The sequence below is a fragment of the Homo sapiens genome, chromosome 1 (assembly GCF_000001405.40).
Source record: "Homo sapiens chromosome 1, GRCh38.p14 Primary Assembly".
NCBI classification, from domain to species: Eukaryota; Metazoa; Chordata; class Mammalia; order Primates; family Hominidae; genus Homo; species Homo sapiens.
Window position 1 is genome coordinate 174,802,133 of NC_000001.11, and position 24,271 is coordinate 174,826,403.

The 24,271-nt window shown below is 39.5% G+C and overlaps 1 protein-coding gene across 22 annotated transcripts in view; it reads left to right on the top strand.

Moving 5' to 3' along the window:
• Nucleotides 1-24,271, top strand: part of RABGAP1L (RAB GTPase activating protein 1 like) — an 835,789-nt gene that overhangs the window by 642,613 nt on the left and 168,905 nt on the right. For all 22 annotated transcript variants that reach the window (NR_158982.1, XM_011510223.3, XM_047436028.1 and 19 more), the window contains one exon: nucleotides 9,700-9,828. Coding sequence is in view for 18 of the 22 variants with exons in the window: in XM_011510223.3 (XP_011508525.1) it covers nucleotides 9,700-9,828 (129 nt within the window). In the remaining 4 variants the exon portion in view is untranslated. The remainder of the gene's footprint in view (nucleotides 1-9,699; nucleotides 9,829-24,271) is intronic.

Genomic DNA, 24,271 nt, shown 5'->3' on the forward strand with positions numbered 1-24,271 from the left:
TGGGTTCTCAAGCTTGAGCTCTTTGGAGGTCATGTATATCTGTGTATTGCAATTGTACCAACTCTGGTTGGTTGCCAAATTAGGCATCTGAAGTAGTGCATCTCTCAGGTGGTCTTGAGACCTTACTTAGGCTCTATCAGTTAGAGCCTAAGTAATAATGCCACCTGCATTATGTGTGAAAAGCATATGCTAGGCCAGATGCAGTGGCTCAAGCCTGTATACCCAGCACTTTGGGAGGCTGAGGCGGGCAGATCACCTGAGGTTGGGAGTTTGAGACCAGCCTGACCAACAATGGAGAAACCCCATCTCTACTAAAAATACAAAATTAGCCGGGCGTGGTGGCACGTGCCTTTAATCCCAGTTATTTGGGAGGCTGAGACAGGAGAATTGCTTGAATCCGGGAGGCAGAGATTGCGGTGAGCTGAGATCGTGCCATTGCACTCCAGCCTGGGCAATAAGAGCTAAACTCCATCTCAAAAAGAAAAAGAAAAGCATACGCTGATTTATCTTGGGGGCCACTTGAAAATCTCTGGCTTTGTTTTACACAGTTGCACTTGAAAAATTATTGGTAATACGAGGGTACTCTACATTTTGGGAAATTACAAGTTCTTTAATTAGCAATATGGCTGTTAGTTGGGCTCTGCTATTCAGTAAGTTACTGCTCAAAGTTTAGCATGTGTACCAGGGGGAAATTGTTCAGCCTTGTGTTATTGAACTGGCTAATGATGTGGGATCAATGGCTAATCTGCACAGGACACTCCTAAGAGGAATCCTGCCACATGCAGTATTGCAATCTTTTCATTTCTAGTCAAGAGGAAGTACTAAAGTGTAAAACATCTCTTTACCTTTTTAGTCATGTTTCAAACATGAATGCTTGTGGGTTAAGCACATACAAGTACTTTATTTTACTTTTAAGATCCCATTATTTTTTTTTCATCATAAAACCAGTCATTTTTCAAAAAAATCAAATAAATGAAGATTTACCAAGATAGTGTTGTGGATTTGGTCTCTGAGCCTTATTACTTATTGTTCCCTGATTCACAGAGGGATCGTCAAACTACTAGAACTCTAGGTTTCTTTAACCTTCAGTTGGAAGGAGGTTACTGATATAATAGAGGATGCACATTTGGAATTTTTGCTTGTTACCCTTCAAAGGTACACCCAGTTAAGGACAATTTTCCTTTAATAAATCAGGTGCAAGCATGTCATTTTAGATATTACCACAAGGCCTAAATTCTATGTGTACATTCACCAAACATGTTTTTCTTTTGTGAAATTAAAATACTGAAACAGGAGATGCAAACATCCTAGACATCAGCTAACTGGTATTTCCCTTTTCTAAAGCCTGTGCTTTCAAATGATTCTCAGACCTCCAGAAATTTTTAGCTGAATAAAAATTCTGTTAGATACCATAACTAAAGGAAAAAGAAGCCATTTAGGATAAAAATAGTGAAGATAAGAAAGAGAATCACATTTAGATTTTTTTTTTTTCAAATAGTCCCCTAAAAGAATCAAACATAGAATCTGCTGCTTATTAGAGGCCCTTAAAGAAATATTTATTCAAGAATAGTGAGAAGTTTGGAATAGAAGCATCTGGAGCTAATACTCAAACAGTGGAAATATTTCCACCCACCCTACCTCTTTCAAAAAAAAAATCAGGCCAAGCGCAGTGGCTCACGCCTGTAATCCCAGCATGTTGGGAGGCTGAGGCAGGCGGATCACCTGAGGTCAGGAGTTCAAGACCAGCCTGGCCCACATGGCAAAATCCCATCTCTCCTAAAAATACAAAAATTAGTCAGGTGTGGGGGTGGGCGCCTGTAATCCCAGCTACTCTGGGAGGCTGAGGCAGGAGAATCACTTGAACCCAGAAGGTGGGATGCACCACTGCACTCCAGCCTAGGTGACAGAATGAGATTCCGTCTAAAAAAAAAAAAATTCACCTTAAAATATGATACTCTTGCACTGAATTTTTCAGTGGGAAAAACACATTGAAAATGGTATCAGTGGTGGCATGTGGCCAGAGTCCATACTCTGTAAGTGTGTGATATTTGGAGAAGGAGGAGAAACTTTGACTTTGCTTATATTCAAAATCTCCCCTTTTCCCTGCGGATGTTTTTTTTTTGTTTGTTTTGTTTTGTTTTGTTTTTTGTTTTTTTTTTTGAGATAGGGTTTCAGTTACCCAGGCTGGAGTGCAGTGGTGTGATTTTGGCTCACTGCAACCTCCGCCTCCCAGGCTCAGGCAATCCTCCCACCTCATCCTCCTGAGCAGCTGGGACTACAGGCGCCCACCACCATGCCTGGCTTATTTTTGTATTTTTTGTAGAACTGAGGTTTCATCTCATCTCTACAAAACTGGAAAGGCTGTTCTTCACCTGGGAAATTCTTGCCAACGCTGGTCTAAAACTCCTGAGCTCAAGCGATCTCTCCAGCTTGGCCTTCCAAAGTGTTGGGATTACAGGTGTGAACCACCGTGCCCGGCCTCCCTCGGGATTTTTAATTTTGCTACTATATGCCATAAGAAGTTATCAGATCATTTTATGTTAAAATTAGTGTTATCTGGAGTTTGAATACAGCTACTCATTTTCCACAGTGAATCGAAGGAGGGTTGATTATACATACACAAATGATCTAGCTGTCCCTTTTCGTAGCCATTTTAAGGTTTCATTTTGGTCAAAGTACTTATGCTGATAAATTGCATCCTAATCTTGTTTGTTTTTAACTTTGTAGACTTTCTTAAACATTAAGTTTAAGGAAGGATGAAAGAGCAGAGGAGAATATGTCTTCCCTTTTTACCTCTGTTGTTAACAGCTGCAAGGATTGCTCTTTAAAGAGAGGTTACAACTTATAACAGAAGTTAAAAACCCAAATGCAGAAGTTGCCATGTATACTTCTGATACCCCCCAAAAAATCTAAAAATCAATTTTTATATGAAAATAAGTCCTAAATACACTCCATAATTTCCATTGTATACATCTTAACTTTTGAATATTGGATATGCTTGAAGTGGAGCCTTAATAAATTCATGGAACAAATTTATGTCGATATCTATTATGTGTCAGGCAATTTGCTTAATTCATATCACTGGGGTAAGTGCAAAGGATACTTACATTAACATTCTACTTACCTTTCCCTCTGGATATTTCTTCCTACCTACTTGAAAGGGAAAAGAAGTAGGACTTGTTTAAATGACTTTACTTTTATCTTTTTATATAGTTCTATGCAAATGAAGAAAGAAGTAATGTCACCTTTGAAATGTAATTGGTAAACATGGTTCATATTATTTAAAAGGATTTGTCAGAAAGCTCAGGGAGCAAAAGACGGTTGTGTAGTAGAGCCACTAATTTCAAAAAGTTATCCTTTATTAGTTCTTATTTTATTTTATTTTTGGAGACAAAGTCTCGTTCTGTTGCCCAGGCTGGAGTGCAGTGGCATGATCTCGGTTCACTGCAACCTCCATCTCCTGGGTTCTTGCAATTCTCCTGCCTCAGCCTCCCAAGTAGCTGAGACTACAGGTGCGTGCCACCACGCCCAGCTAATTTTTGTATTTTTAGTAGAGATGGGGTTTTGCCATGTTGGTTAGGCTGGTTTTGAACACCTGACCTCAAGTGATTCACTCTCCTCGGCTTCCCAAAGTGCTGGGATTACAGGTGTAAGCCACTGCGCCCGGCCTATTAGTTCTTATTTAAAAGCTGGTAGAGTTATTTTCTTTATTTTCCAAGGGAAGGAAACATGCCTCTGCTTATTGAAATTGTCGAAATCTTATTCGTATTATCTTCTGGCTAACATTACTTAACTAATGTTGGGAAAGGAGTTGCATTTTCATTATTTTACTCTTCCCTCGCCATTGTTCTGAAAGCAATATAGAAAAGCTCTAACAATTTCCCAGTTGAAGAACAGCCTTTCCAGTTTAAATCAGTTTTTCTAGCCTGAAGGGATTTTGTTCAGTGAGCACAGATGTATAATTGTAAACCAGAAGCCAGCACAACCTATTTTGGGTACTTGGTTTGGTTTTTGAAGTGTTAGTCTGCCTTTTAGGGGTACATTTTTAAAGCATAGATCTTATGATCGCAAGATCATTCGTTAAGCCTCTTCATTGTCAGGGTAAGGGTTTAGTATTCATACAATTATAAACTCAATTATGAGCACTAATTATCTGCAGAGCCAGCTCATTAATAATTAGTATGTGTGCAGGCATGGTAGCTCACTCCTGTAATCTTAGCTACTAGGAAGACTGAGGCAGGAGAATGGCTTGAGGCCAGGAGTTAAAAACCAATCTGGGCAACATAGCAAAACCCCATCTGTAAAAGAAACAAACAAAAAAACAAATTTGCCAGGTGTGGTGGTGCATGCCTGTAGTCCAAGCTACTAGGAAGGCTGAGACAGGAGGATTGCTTAAGCCCAGGAGTTTGAGGCTCTAGTGAGCTATGATTGTGCTACCGCACTTCAGACTGGATGACAGAGCAAGACCCTGCCTCTAAAAAAGTAACAACAATAATAACAATAATTAGTGCTAGGATGGTGAGATAGTAGCACTAGGATGGTGAGAACTGGTTCTGGAGCCCTGGTTGACACCATGTTTTATTTTCATAAACAGCACTACTACTTGTATTTTAGACTAATTACATTACATTAATGCTTGACATTCATAAAGCTTATTTATTTATTTATTTTGAGACAAGGTCTCACTCTGTCACCTAGGCTGGAGTACAGTGGTGCAATATCAGCTCACTGCAGCCTCCATGTCCCAGGTTCAAGCAATTCTCCTGCCTCAGCCTCCAGAATATCTGGGATTACAGGCGTGTGCCACTACGCCCGGCTAATTTTTGTATTTTTAGTAGATACAGGGTTTCACCATGTTGACCAGGCTGGTCTCGAACTCCTGACCTCAAAGTGATCCGCCCACCTTGGCCTCCCAAAATGCTGAGATTACAGGTGTAAGCCACCATGCCTGGCCTGTAAAGCATATATATTTAACAAAATAATATGTATAGGTGATTCAAATTTTGTTAAATATGTGTAAGATATGTATGTAATGATGGGGTAAAGGACTATAAATAATGTAATAAAATATTAATTATGTTTATCTCTGTAGTCAGACCTTATATTAGGCTTTTAAAAAATTTTTTATTTTGGGCCATGAATATGTAATCAAGAAAAAGTTTATGACCCCACCATGTAGACAATACACATACATATGTACGAATTATGATTGAAAAAGTATTCTTTTAAAAAAAAAGCCAAACAACTTTTGATAAATTCTTAGTGAAACATCCAAATCTTTGCAGAACAAGAAAACATCCAATCTTTGCCGAGCAAGAAGTGTCTATCCCTTGATTGTAGAGGGAAAAACCTCTTAGATACAGTTGTCAGCAAATGAAGAGTTATCTCTGTAAGCTTATAATCTGCTTATGGCATTACAAAGGCATTTGAGGTAATACTTAATGATTATGGAAGTCTCTCGAAGATAGAAAATTGGAGGAAAAAACCCATCAGAATCAAAGTAGGACTAACTACAGGTTGTCTTCTAGAATACTGGCAGCAAGGTTTTTGTTTTATGTGTTTTGTGCTTACTGGCATTTTTGTTTTCGTTCACAATGAAATTAGCTGTATTGCAGCCCATAAGAAAAATATAAGTTCTTCCAACTTAGACTGCCCACTTTATGGAATTAAAAATATCAGTGAGGCCAGGCACAGTGGTTCACATCTGTAATCCCAACACTTTGGGAGGCCTGGGTGGGAGGACTGCTTAAGGCCAGGAGTTTGAGACCAGCCTGTGCAACGTAGCGAGACCCCCATCTCTACCAAAAACAAAACAAAACAACAACAACAACAACAACAACAAATTCTTTTTTTTTTTTTTTTTTGAGATGGAGTCTCACTGTATTGCCCAGGCTGGAGTGCAGTGCAGTGGCGCGATCTCGGCCCACTGCAAGCTCCGCCTCCTGGGTTCATGCCATTCTCCTGCCTCAGCCTCCCCAGTAGCTGGGACTACAGGCACCCATCACCATGCCCGGCTAAAATTTTTTTTGTATTTTTAGTAGAGATGGGGTTTCACCGTGTTAGCCAGGATGGTCTCAATCTCCTGATCTCGTGATCTGCCCGTCTCAGCCTCCCAAAGTACTGGGATTACAGGCATGAGCTACCGTGCCCAGCCAAAAAAGAATTCTTAAAACGTAGCTGGCATGGTGGCACACGCATGTAGTCCTGGCTACTCGGGAGCCTAAGATGGGAAGGTTTCTTGAGCCCAGGAGTTCGAGGCTGCAGTGAGCTATGATTGCACCATCGTACTCCAGCCTGGGCAACAAATTGAGGCCCTGTCTCAAAAAACAAACAAAAAATTCAGTGAGAGCAAGGTACTGCTTTTAGCCACTAAGATATCTATTTTTGAGCATATTTGAGCAACACAGATGCTATCACCCCTTATATTTCTTTTGGAATTCAAAAAATGCACTCTTATACCTTAAATTATTTCATTCTCAAATACTTGTTTTTTTGGTGTGTGTGTGTGTTGGTTTTTCTTTCTTTCTTTTTTTTTTTTGAGACAGAGTTTCACTCTTGTTGCCCAGGCTGGAGTGCAATGGTGCAGTCTCGGCTCTCTGCAACCTCCACCTCCTGGATTCAAGCGATTCTCCTGCCTCAGCCTCCCAAGTAGCTGGGATTACAGGCATGCGCCACCACGCCTGGCTAATTTTTTTTATATTTTTAGTAGAGATGGAGTTTCACCGTGTTGGTCAGGCTGATCTGGAACCCCTGACCTCAAGTGATCCACCCGCCTCGGCCTCCCAAAGTACTGGGAATACAGGTATGAGCCACCAAGCACGGCCTCATTCTCAAATACTTGTGATTAAAGATATTCCCATTTTTTAAATGGGAAAACTTACATAGCACTACAAGTTTGCCAAAGTTGAAGTTAAAATGAATTTATTACATCCTTTGCAACCCTGAGTACCTTTAATGTGTCAAGTACTCCAGAGGCTGAGGTTAGCAAATTGAATAAGATGCAGTTTTCACACCTTTGTATACTTGAGCCTCCCTGCCCCATGGTTGCCAGATCTCTTCTCTTCTTGAGCTTAACTGAGCTGGGCAATCCATGTGATTTGCAGCAATATCAACACCAACAATGTCTAGGAAAGGACAGCCACAGGGAACTCTGGCTTCTCGTGTCCAGAGACTTAACCTGAGTTAGGCTTCAGCCCCACCCTGGTGGGAACCCCATTGCTGTACCCTCCCTGAGGCTATTAGCCTCTCTTAAGCAGCATCTCTGCCTACATGGCCATCCCTGCTTGACTAGAGGTCCGGTGTGTGAGAATGTAGGATTCCTCATTCTTGATACCAATCTATCTGCTTTTGTATGTGCTAAAAGGCTGGATTTGAAATTAGGCCTTGGCAATATTAGAAAATTAGATAACTATGCTACTGTCTGCAGAGAAGAGATCGCCCATCACCATTTTGGGGCATCTGTTTCCAGGTAACTAGAGGTTAATTGCATTGAAAATAGAAGAGGTGCCTTCAGAGGACTTTCGGTAGTGAGGAAAGGGTTAATCCTGTTTCTCCACAAACCCTGGAAGCAGTTTGTCTGGAATTGTCCAAACCACTACCAGAGAGCTAATCATCAGAACTGGTATTACATGTGAAAAACGAAGCCTAGGGATGTGTGGTACATCTGGTAGAATTGGTAGCTGGATGCTTTCCCCCATAATTCAGCCGTTGATATTTTAGTTAGAGAGGCTCTCTCTCAGACTGAAGTTGTTTCCAGTAACTGCCTTTTCCAGCTAAGTTAAGGTGAGTTGAGAGCATGCTAAGCATTCTCCACCACTTGTTGCTATTGCATCTGTATGTTTATGAGGAAAGAGAAATCTGAGATGTACTGGAGTTTTTTGTTTTTTCATTACCACTGTTAGCCTAGCTCCATTTTTTGATTACTAATTTGTGGACCTTTGTGAAACTGCCTGGTATGAATATGTTCTTTTCTTTCACATTTCTGTTTAAAGGGCAGGGGAAAAGGGAAGCAAACTCTAGCAAAAGAGAGATGAAAGTAGATTTCATTCATTTATTCTGTTAGAAATTTGAGTGCCTCCTATATTCTGGGCATTGTTCTTGTTGCTGTGGATGTAGCAGTGTGAAAGACAGACAAAGAGGGGAAGAAGGGGAGCAGATATAAAACTGGAAAGTGAATTGGTGGGGAATGGGCTAGGAGGAAGAATTTAAGTGCTCAGAGAAGGTCTCACTCAGATCTTATATTGAGCTAAAATCTAGATTACAAGATGTTGCTAGGATTGGACTACATGTCTTGCTAGTCATGATAATGACTTGGACCAGGGTGGTGATGACGAAAACTGAGACCCTGTTACAAGCAGGAATTTCTCTGGCTTCCTGCCTACTTTTTCAGTGCAGTCTTTAATCAGCTTTACATTTTAATTTAAATAAAGTAATATTTTGACACAGCATGTAGTTATGTGATTTCTGGGTGCTTTTTTAATTGTTGAAGTTTTTGACTATTAAGTACTGACTGTAAAACATCTAATTTGTTTTTGGCTTCTGTGTACTCATCTTCCTAAATCTATAATATGTATCACAGTGTTTGCCAAAGTTGTTTATAGCTGTTTATTAAAATATTTATTGTCTTTCTTATTATAAAAGCGTTATACAGAAAGTATAACAAAATGTAATGAAAAAAATAACCTTCAGGTTACAGTGACCCATGCCTGTAATCCCAGCACTTTGGGAGGCTGAGGTGGGAAGATACCCTGAGCCCAGGAGTTATCAGCTTGGGCAACAGAGTGAGACTCCCATCTCTATTTAAAAAAAAAAAAATTATAAGTAGCTGGGTGTGGTGGTGTGTGCCTGTAGTTCCATCTACTCAGGAGGCTGAGGCGGGAGGATCACTTGAGCCTGGGAGGTTGAGGTTGCAGGGAGCCATGATTGCACTATGCACTCCCGCCTGGGCAACAGGAGACCTTGTCTCAAAAAAAGTAAAAATAAGTGGTATAACCCATGATTCCACTATACAGATAAACATTTTGTTTTCTTTTTAGTCTTTTTTCTGTGCACAGATATATTTATTTCCAAATGGTTTTTTAGTTTTTGAAGAAGTAAATTTGGTAAACAATAGTTTTCAGAAGAGATCAGTAGTTAGGTGGTTTGTTTCATTTACTTTTTCATAGCATTCTTCAAGGTATGGGATCAATTTCCTATTCTTTTCACTTGAACTGCTGCTGTCATTAGTTGAAAAGCCATCTTCCCATTAGGTGTTTATTGTGTAACTGATGTATTTTGGTTGCATTTTCTATGTCTTCAGCCAGCTTTTTAATAATATCCTTAAAATGTTCATTGAGCTGAAGTCACAGATTAGTCCTAGAGTCCAGTTTCTTTTCCTTTTTTAGCCTTATTCTTTTCTCAGAGCTGTAACTTGGTAAGCTTTGCCAGGAACCATCATTCTAATTTTCAGGTAATATGAATTCAGTATGTTAGTTTGTTCATTAACTCTTAGATTGCTTCTGTGATTTATGGTGATTTATTTCAGCTTATAGTAACATCATCTAAATATTGAAATGTTAGAAATATCTTCTTAAAATGTTTGGAACTAACTTAGATCTTAGCTATAAAAGTATATTCAAGAAAATATAAATTCTTTTTGAAATATATTTGTCCTCAAAGCAGGCTGAAATGTAATGACGATTCTTGATGATTATTTTGCAGACCTCAAAGGAAGACCTTCTGCAGGCTGATTTTGAAGGTGCTTTAAAGTTCTTTAGAGTTCAGCTTCCAAAGAGATACAGGGCAGAGGAAAATGCAAGAAGACTGATGGAGCAGGCTTGCAATATTAAAGTAAGAACATGAGTTTTTATATAATAAAGGTAAAATATGAGTGCAGAATAATATGACAAATTATGTAAAAATTTTTTTATATGTTGCAAGGTTTGATTATGTTTAAGATTAGATTGTGTATGAACTGATTTCTCCCAGATGTGTTTGTCAGGCTAATGTGTGTATAGTAGCTGTACCTTCTAGTAGGACTTAAAGTTGGCAGGCTCAGATTATAACAATAGGAAGATAAACATTTATCTCATAGGTGGGGCTCTAGAGTGGGCTGCTGTGATAGTGGTTTCCATGGAAGCAGACTTAGTATTTAGCTTTTGCCATCTGTTTTAAGATTATTTAGGACAAAGCAAGAAAAGCTTGCTTAGGCAATGCTTTCATTTCTCTAAGTGACTTGGAAAGTTTGAGTCTTGATCTGCCCATTCCCATCCCACACCTGCCAAATATCTGTGGATACATTGGTCCATGTCACATGTCTGATAAAGCTAAACACATTTTATAAATCAATTTGAAATTGAAAACTCTTTCCAGAAAGTTGTAGTATTAAGGTGAGAGAGCACTCTTAAAATATTTGGAACCAATTTACTGATGTTAATTCTTATACCTCTACAATATACCAGGGTATCTTTTTACCTAACCATAACGTAAATATAAATTGTTTTCCTAAACAAACAGAGATCCTGGTCTTAGGGACTTTACATTCTTGCAGAAGGAAACAGACAATAAGCAACATAATAAATACATTATTTATTTAACATGTTAGAAAGTGATAAATAGCTGTGAAAAAAAAGAGAGTAGGGGAAGATAAAGGGAGGTTGGATTAGTGGGGGAGCAAAGGTTATGATTGTTATTAGATAGTCAATGTGGACCTCACTGAGTCAATGAAGGAGATGAGAGATTAGTCATGGAGATGTCCTGGGGAAAAGCTTTCTAGGCAGAGTCAATAGCCAGTTCAAAGGTCCAGAGACTGCCTCATGCCTGGGTGGGCTTGAGAAACAGGAAGGCCAGTGCAGCTGGAGTGAAGTGAATGAAATGGGAGTAGTAGGAATGCTCACAAAGAGCCAGAAAATGTAGGCCATTGTAAGCATTTAGGCTTTACTTTGAGTGAAGCAGGGAGCTCTTGCAGGGTTTTTAGTGGAGCAATGATATGATCTGTCTGAGGTTTTTAAAGGATCACAATGGCTATTTTGTTAAAAACAACCATAGGAAGGTAAGAGAAGTAGGGACATCAAACAGGAGATTTTGGAGTAATCCTCTTGAGAGATGATGATAGACTGAACCAGGGTGTTAACAGTGGAGATAGAGATGGAGTGGAGATGGAGATGGTTGGAACCTGAGTATTTTTGAAAGAGAACCAATAAGATTTCCTGATATATTAAATGTGAGTGTGAGGAGAAAAGAAGAGTTAAAATGATTGCACTGATTTTGAACTACGCAACTAGGAGATAAGAGTCACCATCAACTTATTAAGCATATTACTTAAAAGGTACTTTGACACAGACTTCTTTTAGGCACCAGAGCCACTGTAACATTTTTTGGTATAACACAATCTTTTTAAATTTAAATCAAATTATAAATGTTAAAAAGTACAGTTAAAAAGTACACTGAAAGTAAGTAACTGGGCAGAAAAAAATTATTTTGTCTTTCAAGTGAGCTTTATATTCAAAGAGATCATTTTCCAAAGCTATCATAAGAAAGATGGATTTCTGAAGTTTTCATTCTGAAATGCAAACTCTTTAAAGCCTTCACGACTGATTGTTTTATTTGGCCAAAGTGTAAGCCACATTTATTTGTAACTTTGAAAGTATACTCTAGTGGGCATGATGCCTTTGACTGAATTTTGTGGGTGGTGAGTTTGAAAGGTAGGCTTCAGCCAACTGATTGTTTCGGAGATGCCAGAGAGAAGTATTGTAAATTGGGTCAATGTTGTAGGCATCCTTTAAAATAAAATATTTATTTCTAAGAATAAAAGAGTAGAGAAATAAGAGGTACAGGTAAGGTGAAAAGTTAAAGGTTTTCAAGGGAAATCTCAGAGGATTGCCAAGTCACTGAGGACAAAAGAAACCCAGGAAAACAATTGAAAAACATGAAATGTATAGGGAAAATTTTTTTCTCCAATATAATTTATGAAGTTCCTGGAGGTGGCTAGTTATTATCAATCCAGAAACATGGGATCTGAGAGATGGAGAAGCGTAAAATGTTAGAAAACAAGTTCAAAATATAATCCAAATGGACTGCTCCTGGAAGGGAAGTGCTGGGTACAACCAGAATAAATTTTTTGGACATGAATAGGTAAATATGAATATTTTTAAAGCTTTTAATAAGATTTCAATAATTTAAAATTTTTAATAATTTAATAATTTGTAAAGTTTTAATAGTTTTTTGTGGGGTTTTCTTTGCATTATCTAAGGAGAATGCCTTTTTCTTGGATATTTAAGACGGTATCCACGGGACACCATTTCATTTATAACATATAATTGTAGAGTGAATGATTGTGAGGCAGATGTGAGGTGAAACTGAAAGAAGGAAGACATAAGTCATCCAGTATTGGGCTGGGATTGTGCTGGGACTAGAATGTAGGTCTCCAATCCAAAGGTCTAAAATTGTTTTTAAACCAAGACCTATATTTTGGTTGCTTTTATGTCAAGACCATGACTATATGTACGTACTTACATACACATAACTGAAGAGATACTTACCCTTACACTGAGGCACTCTGATGTTTTTTGTTCTATTGTATTGTATTTCCTTTTTTTTTTTTGAAATGGAGTCTCATTCTGTTGCCCAGGCTGGAGTGCAGTGGCACAATCTCTGCTCACTGCAACCTCCCAGGTTCAAGCAATTCTCCTGCCTCAGCCTCCTGAGTAGCTGGGACTACAGTCATGTGCCACCACGCCTGGCTATTTTTGTATTTTTAGTAGAGACAGGGTTTCACCATGTTGGCCAGGCTGGTCTCGAACTCCTGACCCCAAGTAATCCGTCCGTCTCAGCTTCCCAAAGTGCTGGGATTACAGGTGTGAGCCACCATTGCCCAACCTATTGTATTGTATTGTATTGTATTTTAAACTTCTCCCCGGATCCCAAGAAAATCCCCAAACCAAAAGGCTGACCACAACCCACTAAATCGATTTTACAATAGCTTGTAGTTTTGAAAAAACACTAAGACCTATCCCACTGTTCCTACCACCTCCCCGTTCCCCACTCTGATCTGCCACAACCCATGAGAGGCTGTAGATGACGAGGTGTTACAATGAATAATGGAAGTGCATGTGTAGGTAAGGATGTGAGTCATCATGCCATCATTACAGCAGCTTGTGCTGGCAGTTGGAAATTTTAGGAGATGATGGACTTATAGACTGAGACTTATGTGTTAGACAAAGCATTCATGGACAAAGGTGACTGCAGGCATGGAATAGGCAAGAAAGTTTAACTCCTTATCCATAGCCTATTTAAGATTAAAGATAGAATTTCTGCCAAAAGTAATCAAGTTTTAAACATTTTTAAATTATTTTCAAAGTTGGTGTTGTATATAGTTGTGTCTTTTTTGAATGGACATGTTCCCATTTAATTACCCCCCAAAATAATCACTTTCCTTTAATTTTAAGGAACTGTAACCAGTGATTTCAGTGAAACTGAAACTGGCTTTAAAATAGATGCAGCAGTTGCAAGCAAAAAATAACTTGTTAGCTCTGTATGTGGTTTATTTCTGTGAGTGTACCAACAAGATTTGTTAATAAAGCACATTAGATTGGATAAATAATTTTATTTTTCCAAAACTTGTATGACATTAAATATCAGGAACATTTTCAATAGCTTCTAAACTGGTAATTTAACTAATGTGACTCCAAGTTATTCTAATACCCTTCTGTTCCTATGGTTTCAACTAGGCCAAAATCAGAAAACATATTGACCCATCAGGCTTTACTTTGAACAGTCATTTGGTTACTTTTAATATTGAAATCAAGACCTAAATAAAAGATGTTTAAAGTGCCTAATATGAATATCCTGTATTTTCCCAGGGAGTCAGTTTTTATTAAATATCATACTTTGATTTTTGCCTTATAGTTAAAAATGCTGCCATTGCAGAGCTTCTTAAACTTGGATTTTGGCTTCAGAGACTCTGAATTACCAGAAATTTGAATTTCTTTGTATGAACATATGAGCATTTTGTTTTTCTTAGTAACATAATACATAGCTTTTTTTTTTTTTTTTTTTTTTGAGATAGAGTTTTGCTCTTGTTGCCCAGGCTGGAGTGCAATGGTGCCATCTCAGCTCACTGCAACCTCCGCCTCCCGGATTCAAGCAATTCTCCTGCTTCAGCCTCCCGAGTAGCTGGGATTATAGGCATGCACCACCACGCCCAGATAATGTTCTATTTTTAGTAGAGATGGGGTTTCTCCATCAGGCTAGTCTCATACTCCCGACCTCAGGTTATCCACCCCCCTTGGCCACCCAAAGTGTTAGGATTACAGGCGTGAGCCACCACACCAGGCCTCGTAATATATAGCTTTATTAAGTGCATATACACATAATCTTTATAATTCTTGATCTGATTACCTGTTTTTCTACATATTTTTATTCAATACCATTTATATTGTATCAGGTTGAATTGATGAAATTACCATTCCTGTTGGTCAGAAACTGTCAGGTATTTGATTGGTTTATGATTTATGATTCAGTATTTTATGCCTCCTTACAGCTCAAATAGGTGCATATGTAGCTTAGCTCTATGGCCATGTAAACTTTTCCTGAGAATTATTCTCCAAAGGCTAAGAAACAAGTCTTTTTTTTTTTTTTTTGAGATGGAGTCTTGCTCTGTCACCAGGCTGGAATGCAATGGCGCGATCCCTGCCTCCTGCAACCTTCGCCTCCCTGGTTCAAGCAGTTCCCCTGCCCAGCCTTCCGAGTAGCTGGGACTACAGGCGTGCGCCACCATGCCTGGCTAATTTTTTGTGTTTTAGTAGATTCAGGGTTTCACCATGTTGGCCAGGATAGTCTCGATCTCCTGATCTCATGATCCACCCACCTTGGCTTCCCAAAGTACTGGGATTACAGGCGTGAGCCACTGCACTCGGTCAGTCCTTTTTTTTTGTTTTGTTTTGTTTTTAAGTTGATTTTTATTTGGAATAATGTTCCAAGTACCATATTTACGATGGACTTCAGTAGTAGCAAAGTTCATAAGCACAATCATCCAAAATTTTCTGTTGGTAGAGCTTTATAATAGAGCTTTTTAAAATATGTTAGTTTATTTCACTTGTATTTCATTAGTAAAATAATTTGAGCAAAATTAAAAGGCAAAATCTGACATTAACCTAAAGGAAGAAAATTAGGAAAGAAAAGTTATTTATTGAGTGCCTGTTGTGTCCCAGGAACTATGCCAAGAGGACTTTTCAGAGGAAGTAAGAGTTAAAATGAAATCTGAAAGATTATTAGGAGTTAAGGAGTGTATCAAGGCAGGGAGAAGGATGTTTCATGCAGACAATATGCAGAAGCCCATAGGTAAAAAAAATATGGAGTTGCCCAAGACCTGAATGTAGGTCATGACTGGAGAGTAGGTTGCAAGGAGGGAGAGGCAGTTAGGGGAGTAGATAGAGAAAAGACTAGAGAGGTAAGCAGGAGCCAGCCAGCTTGTGCAGAGCCTTGTAAACCACGGTAAGCAATTTGGATTTTATCCTGAGGGGAGTGATAAGCACTGAAGGATTTAAAATAGGAGACATAAATTATCAGGTTATTGTTAGGAAGGTCATTCTGGTTGCTGTGTGGGAATGGATTGAAAGGGTTAAGATTCGGTATTGGTGACAGACCATTTCAGGAGCTGTTGCAGTCATCTAGGTGAGAAGAGACCAGAGTTTTTGTAATAGGCTGAAGAAATTATGGATGAATTCCAGAGACATTCAAGACATAAAATTAACAGATTTTAGTGATTACATGTGAGCCTCAGGGCAGATAAAGAGAGCCAGCGATAGCACTTAGGATTCTTACTTAAGCAACTTGGTGGAAATCACACTGAGAAAGGAAACAAACAAGAGAACAAATTATAAGCACTAAAGATAATGAGTTAACTTTTGAATATGTTGTTCGTGGTACATATCCACAACTCATATCCAAGTAGATATAAATATCCAATAGGCAGGTGGATACTGAAGTGAGATCTGAGCTAAAAGTAGACATTTGGGAGTCATCAGCATTGAAACCATGGGAGTGGGTGAATTCTTATAGCGGAGTATATACAATGAGCAGAGAGAAGGGTGGAGGATAGATGCATTCACATGTAAAATACAGATGAGGGAATAGAAGCTGGTGAGACTAGAAGGCAGGAAGAAACCCAGAAGAGTATGACTGTGAACACTAAGGGAAAAGGTGTTTGTTTTCAAGAAGGAAGGAGTTGAACAAGTGTCAGTGGTACCTAGAGGTCATGTATAAGGTACTGAGAAGTGGAAAGTAGCTATTGTGCAATATTTAACGAAAAGACATCCTTAATGGTCTTAATGAAAGTAGTTTCAGTTAAGTTATGACAAATAAAAGCCAATGATTCAAGGAATAAATAGCAGGTGAGTAAATAGAGAAATGAAGATGAGACTGTTTTTCTAAGAAGGTTAGTATGGGGAGAGGATGGAAAATGGAAGAGATAGCCGGTAATTGGACTGAGCATGGTGGCTCACACCTGTAATCCCAACACTTTGGGAGGCGGAGGTAGGAGGATCACCTGAAGTCAGGAGTTTGAGAGCAGCCTGGGCAACGAAGTGAGACCCCATCTCTACAAAATATTTGAAAAGGCTGGGTGTGATGGCTCACACCTGTAATCCCAGCACTTTGGGAGGCTGAGACAGGTGGATCACTTGAGCCCAGGAGTTTAAGACCAGCCTGGGCAACATGGTGAAACCCCGTCTCTACCAGTAAAAAAGAAAAAAAAAAATTAGCCAGGCATGGTGACATGTGTCTGTAGTTTCAGCTACTCAGGAGGCTGAGATGGGAGGATTTTTTGAGCTTGGGAGGCATGGGTTGCAGTGAGCTAAGATCATGCCACTGCACTCCAGCCTGGGTGACAAGAGTGAGACCCTGTCTCAAAAAAACTCCAAAAATTATCTGGGCATGGTGGCACATGCCGGGAGTCCTAGCTACTTGATTGGCTGAAGTGGAAGGTTGGCTTGAGCCCAGGAGTTGGAGGCTGCAGTGAGCTATGACTGTGTCATTGCATTCCAGCCCAGGTGACAGAGCAAGACTCTGCCTGTCTCTAAAAAAAAAAAAAAAAAAAAAAAAAAGAGATAGTCAGCAAGCCTGAGAGTAAGTATGGGAGAGAGAGAGATGAGTAAGTACAAGAGAGAGAGATAAGAGGATGTTGAGACTAAGATGGATTTTTGGAGGATGGGAAAGATGAGTCTTTAATGCTAAAAAAATTTCCAATGACTCTTAATTTCTTCTTTGAGCACCTACTATATGCCAGGCATTGTACCAGATAGACCCAGGGAATATGAGATTGAGCAAAAGCACATATGCTCTCAGAGCTCATGGAATTCACAGTGTTAATTTAATCACCTTAATAAATGTATACTTACAGAGTGAGATAAATGTTCAGAAGAGATATAATAAAGATATATGAGAGCAAAGAGCAAAGGAACCTGACCTTGACTCAATGATCTAGAGAAAGCATTCTTGAACTGAGATTACAAGGTATTCCAGACTGAAAAGCAGCATATGCAAAGCCTGTGAAGAGGGAGAGAATATAGTAAGTTGTAGAAACTAGGAGAAGGCCAGTTTGACTGTACTTCAGAGAATGATGACAGTTGATATCCAGGGACCAAACCACTTCATCTACCAATAAGAAGGAAAAGCCCACAGAAAGAGAAAAGTTAAAGATTAAATAAAGAAAGGGAAATATATTAACAGGAAAAGGACTCTGAGGAGGTAAGGGATTAACCTCAAAAGAATGGACCTTTCATTACAAGCTGGAGGGAATAGGCAAGGGAAGGATGGGGAAAATGGTGAATGTGTAGTTTGGTGAGGAAGAAATTGAGGATATTTCATTTGAAGTTTTCTATTGTTTCTGTTAAACAGGATCTAGGATGAAGGGAATGCAGTAAAGTGACAGCTTTGAGAAACATGGAAGAGCTTTTAGACTGGAAAAACTCAAAAGAACAGCTAGTCTATATTGTTGTAGACTATGAGTTCATAGTGGCAAAAATCTACAGTGTTTTGTAATTTTCTTTAGAAACATTTAGTAGTCCAAATGTATATATGAAGAAGACAGAAGGTTATTTTAACCACAGTTGAGGTTTGCCAATATGAGGCAAAGGAAGGACATGGGGCCAGGGCAGTTGTGCTAATAAACTGTATATTGGGTTGGGGAGTAAGAGGGAGTAGAGAAAGAGGTATCCCTGATTTGTAGCGTTTGCCCATTTCCATGGTATGAATACTCCCACCATGGCCAAATTTCAAGCTACCAATGACTTAACCGCCCCACTCAATTTCTGAATATTAAGAGCCACTTTTGAGCTGGTAGTTTCTGACACTGGTACACCACAGGGTTGAGGAGATGAGGCTAATAGCAGGAGAGTGGTTGACATGATGGGAAATGGAGTCTAATTAATAGAAAAGAGAGTGAAGATAGATGGGACTGAAAGACTACAAGAAAAGGGCCTGGGAGAAGGGAACAAAGAATTATTGGACTCAGGAAGAATGGCGGAAGAGGAGATTAATTCCCTTATTGGGGGTTACCCAAGATAAAAAGCATCTTTTTCTCAAAAATTCATATATTTTAAAGAGAACTTTCTGATACTAGAAAGTAATATTGCCCTGGGCTCGCCCCTGTAATCTTAGCACCTTGGGAGGCTGAGGCGGGCAGATCGCCTGAGCTCAGGGCTTCAAGATGAGCCTGGCCAACATGGTGAAAACCCGTATCTACTAAAATACAAAAATTTCCCTAGGCATGGTGGCACGTGCCTATAATCCTAGCTACTCAGGAGGCTGAGGCGTGGGAATTGCTGGAGTCCGGGAGGTGGAGGTTGCAGTGAACTGACATTGCACCACTGCACTCCAGCCTGGGCGACAGAGTGAGACTCCATCTCAAAAAGAAAAAAAAAAAAAAACTGCCCTGTGCTCATAATTTCCAGTGATCGCAGCAAAACCATGCCAATTACTATTTTGGCATTCATGGCCACCTCCTATGATTTACTTCTCTTTGTCCTAATAATTCTGCCACCATCACTACCATTTTACTCTGATCACATGATTAAGAGTTGGAAATGCATTGTGGGAGGAATAGACAAAGATGGCAGAGGCAGTGCAGGTAGCGGGAATGAGGGAATGAGGAAGGGCACTCATGGTTAAAAACAGAATCCTGACCCAGCATCTTCTCACACACCAAAATTGTCTTCCTACCCCGTGCTAAAGAGGTAGCTACCAATGATAAGATGTTACTTATCACCTACTTGCCTCAGAAAATTCTAAGCTCTGCTCCAGCTCAATTACCTATATATTGTGCTGGACTATTTTCTACTCTCCCAAAGTTGCAAATACAATTTGATCTTACCCCTCACAAATCATGTTTTTAATGAGACAGTGGTAGATTCCTTTATCTAGAATTTAATTTTTTTTCTCCGAAGACCTCCATATTCATAACTGGATTTGAATGTTTTTGAAAATAACTTTCACAGTAGAGCAAAACTGTAAAGAACAATTGCATTAAAAGCAATTTACCTCTAATTTCTTCATGCTGTTTGCTATTTATTCCTGGCTGTTGTTGCTGTACGTGAACAAGAATGTACTCTCTGAAATAGAGGCTTTCTTTGAATTAGCACTGAGGTCCTACAGAAGTTTTTGTCAACTTCATGGATCTAAAATGTGTGCTTTTATGTACACCATTGAAAAGATTCACTTTTGATTAAAACACATCTTGTGTTCCTTTTCTATAAAGACCTCTATATGTTGACAACCACATTTGAGTTGTTAGGTTTAGTGTCATAATCTTCTGCTGGAGAAATGTTATCATGTTATAGGATACAGATGTGATAATTAACACATTGATAATAAAGCTGGGTGCGGTGGCTCACGCCTGTAATCCCAGCCCTTTGGGAGGCCGAGGCGGGTGGATCACGAGGTCAGGAGTTGGAGACCAACCTGGCCAACACAGTGAAACCCTGTCTCTACTAAAAATACAAAAATTAGCCGGGCATGGTGGCGCACGCCTGTAGTCCCAGCTACTCGAGAGGCTGAGGCAGGAGAATCACTTGAACCTGGGAGGCGGAAGTTGTGGTGAGCGGAGATTGCACCGCTGCACTGCAAGCCTGGGCAATGGAACAAGACTGTGTCTCAAACAAACAAAAAAAATTGATAATGAAGTAGTTTCTATATCAAAGCATTTGCCACTGTTTGCCTTTGAGACTTCTATTAACACTCATAGTCTTCAGTGCACCTTAGATTGGGGTATTGTTTTGTTTTATTCCCAGTGAGCAGGGAACATGTTAATGTTGGACATGTTCTGAAACAGTTGATAACAGGCAGAGGAAACAGGTCAGAGCTCCAGATGCTTAGGCATCAGGCACCTTCCACATTTAAAAAACTCAGCTTTTGTGGCCCTTCCTAATCAGCTAGAACAGTGGTCTCCTACCAGGGATCATTTTCATGGAAGACAATTTTTCCATGGTGGAGGGGGAGGGCATTAGATTCTCATAGACAGAGCAGTCTAGATCCCTTGCATGTGCAGTTCACAATAGGGTTCACGCTCCTATGAAAATCTAATGCTACTGCTGATCAGACAGGAGGCAGAGCTCAGGCCATAATGCTTGCTCTCCCACGAGGCACCTCTTTCTGTGTGGCCCGGTTCCTAATGACCGGTACTGGTCCGCTGCCTGGTGGTAGGGACCCCTGAGCTAGAACACATTTGTCTTCTTTATTTGCTTCTGCCATTTTGTTTCTACCCTGTACCTACTTCTGCCAGTCATTTTCTGGCAGTTCATTAAAAAGAAAGCCATACATACATTTTAAAATTAACCTGATGGGTAAACTAATGGATATAAAAATTGATTTATATTTGGGCAACTCTTTTCTTAGAAAAACAAATAGTAAACCATAGGAATAGAGCATTATGCCTTTATAGACGTTCCAAAATTGGAACTATGTGCATTCCATGCATAATTAACAACAAAAAGAACATCAGAATTGCTATCTCACCTAGTAGTTTATTTTTCTTCAAAAACTTTAAGTTTTCTTTTTTTCCCTGCACCTAATTCACGCCCAGCAGTCTTATAATGGATCAAAACCTAATGATTATGCTCTTAAATAAGAGTTTCCATATTTTGTTTACCTTTCTGAAGTGTTTTGCCAATTACCTTTTATCCAGTAGTTGTGATTTATATCTATCAGAGTTGCCATAACGTTAGAACTTGTCTTCACTATTGGGAACAGCAGTAATCAATAATTTTCCCGCAACCATTTACCGTGATTCTACATTTCTTTGAATTATTTTATTTATTTATTATCACTTGAATTCATATTAACATTATGTTTAAAGTGTGCTTCATGATTTGTATTTGGGGATCCGATTTACAGAAGAAAAGAAAACATTCCTCTGAACCCTTGTTGCTTCTCACTGGAAATAATTTCATTATGTTAGGCAACAATAAAAATAAATGAAGAGAGGTTGGTTAATGAGCACACAAGCATACACTTTGATAGAAGGAATAAGTTATAGTATTCAGTAGCACATCAGGGTGACTATAGTTAATAATTTATTGTGTACTTCAAAATAGAAGATTCAAAAGGTTCCCAACAAAAAGAATTGACACATGTTTGAGGTGATCGATATCCTAGTACTCTGATGTAATCATTACACATAGCATTCAGGGAGCAAAATATCGCATGTTCTCCATAAATATGTACAATTATTATGTATCAGTAAAAATAAATTAGAAATTGGCTGGGTAAGTGGCTCATGCCTGTAATACTTGCCTTTGCCTCCCAATACTTTGGGATACTTTGCCGATCACTTGAGGTCAGGAATTTGAAACCAGCTTTACCAACATGGTGAAATCCTGTCTCTACTAAAAATACAAAATTTAGGCCAGGCGCAGTGGCTCACACCTGTAATCATAGCACTTCGGGAAGCCAAGGTGGGTGGATCACCTAAGGTCAGGAGTTCGAGACCAGCTTGGCCAACAGGGTGAAACCCCGTCTCTACTAAAAATACAAAACTTAGCCAGGTGTGGTGACACGTGCCTGTAATCCCAGCTACTAGGGAGGCTGGGGCAAGAGAGTCTCTTGAACCAGGAAGGCAGAGGTTGCAGTGAGCTGAGTTCGCTCCACTTCCCTCCAGCCTGGGCGAAAGAGTAAAACTCCATCTCAAAAAAAATATATAGATATAGATATATACATATCTATATATATATTAGTACAAAAATTAGCTGGGCATGGTGACACACGCCTATAGTCCCAGCTACTTGGGAGGCTGAGGCAGGAGAGTCACTTGAACCCAGGAGGGGGAGGTTTCAGTGAGCTGAGATCGTGCCACTGCACTCTGGCCTGGGCGACAGAGCAAGACTCTGTCTCTAAATAAATAAGAAATAAACTTAAATGAAACTTAGGTGTTTCAGATAAGTTACATTAGGAAGGTTGGGCCATTGGATCCTGAGGGTTTAGTGTTCTAAACACTTAAAGCACAACTGTTTTAGATACCAATGCCTGTACTCTGGGGAATATAAAATATAATTATATTAGATTTACTGAGTAATTTTTCATATTTTCATTTCTCCAACTCAGATCCATTTACCTTGCAAATAACTAAATCTAATTAATATTCTGGAGAAATTGCTTATTTCACTCTTGGGCCTTTTTCTCTCCTCCTCTCTCCCCTACTGTTCCTAAAAAAAAATTTTTTTTTTGAAATGGTGGCAGCAACATGTAAATGACCATAGCAACCAAAAAAAGCGAAATATTTTAAATGTTGTTCACATATCTCCAACTGTTGTTTGTCAAGCCTTCTGAAGTTCCACTTAAAGACAACAAACTACTGAGGAGAAAATTATATTCCTTGCTGTAGTTAATAGTTGTGATCAAATGGGCATTCTTTTCTCATTGCCAAACCCTCTGACTTGGGGATTTTGTTACTTCAACCTGTGAGAGGAACAGAGCTATTGCTTTCATCTAGAACATCTACCTTTTGCCTTTTTTCTTAGCCTGAGGCACTTCCTACCCAAATCATTACTGTATATGTAGTTAATATAGTCTCTTTTAAATACTCATTATTGGTTTTGCTTTTTTGATTTTTATAATGTGAAGGAATCTTGGAGTACAAACGACATAAAGAGGTGGTAAAACAGTGTTCTGATAGTAGTTTAGGCTAGGAGAAGCGTCACGTTCTCATTGTGGCACAAGTTCAACAGATTTATCAGTGTGTTAGCCTTTCCAGGCACTGCCTTATTCTGTTATCCCTAACCCGTAGAGTCACCATACTTTCTACTAACTCTTGCTACTTTTATCCTGAAAAGTTTTAGCTGAAGTTTCTTACAAAATTGGTTCCTGAAGAGGTCATACTTTTGTTTCTGTTTCTCATGTCTGCTGTTTTACATCTGCATTCATTTTCTAGGGATGCCCTAACAAAATAAATACACACTGGAAGGATTCTTTACTCAACTTTTATTTTAGAATCGAGGGTGTGGCCAGGCATGGTGGCTCACACCTGTAATCCCAGCACTTTGGGAGGCCAAGGTGGTGGATCACTTGAGGCCAGGAGTTTGAGACCAGCCTGGCCAAAATGGCAAAACCCCATCTCTACTAAAGATACAAAATTAGCTGGGTGTGGTGGCGCATGCCTGTAATCCCAGCTGTAATCCCAACTCGGGAGGCTGAGGCAGGAGAATCGCTTGAACCCAGGAGGCAGAGGTTACAGTGACTGGAGATGGTGCCGCTGCTCTCCAGCCTGGGCGACAGAGCAAAACTCTGTCTCAAAACAAACAAACAAACAAAAAAAGAATCAAGGGTACAGGTGCAGGTTTGTCACATGAATATATTGCGAGATGCTGAGGCTTGGAGTACAAAGGAATCTCTCACCCAGATAGTGAGCTTGGTGCGCAACAGGTGGTTTTTCAGCTCTTGGCTACTTCCTGCCTCCCTCAAATAGTCCTGAGTATCTGTTGTTCCCATCTCTATGTCCAGGTGTACTCAATGTTTAGCTCCCACTTATAAGTAAAACATGCAGTATTTGGTTTTCTGTTTGTGCATTAGTTTGCTTAGGATAATGACCTCCAGTTGCATCCACGTTGCTGCAGAAAAGGTGATTTCAGTTTTCTTTTTTTCTTTTTTTGGAGACAGAGTTTCACTCTCATTGCCCAGGCTGGAGTGCAATGGTGCGATCTTCCCTCACGCCTCTCGGGTTCAAGTGATTCTCCTGCCTCAGCCTCCTGAATAGCTGGGAATACAGGTGTGTGCCACCATCCTCAGCTAATTTTTGTATTATTAG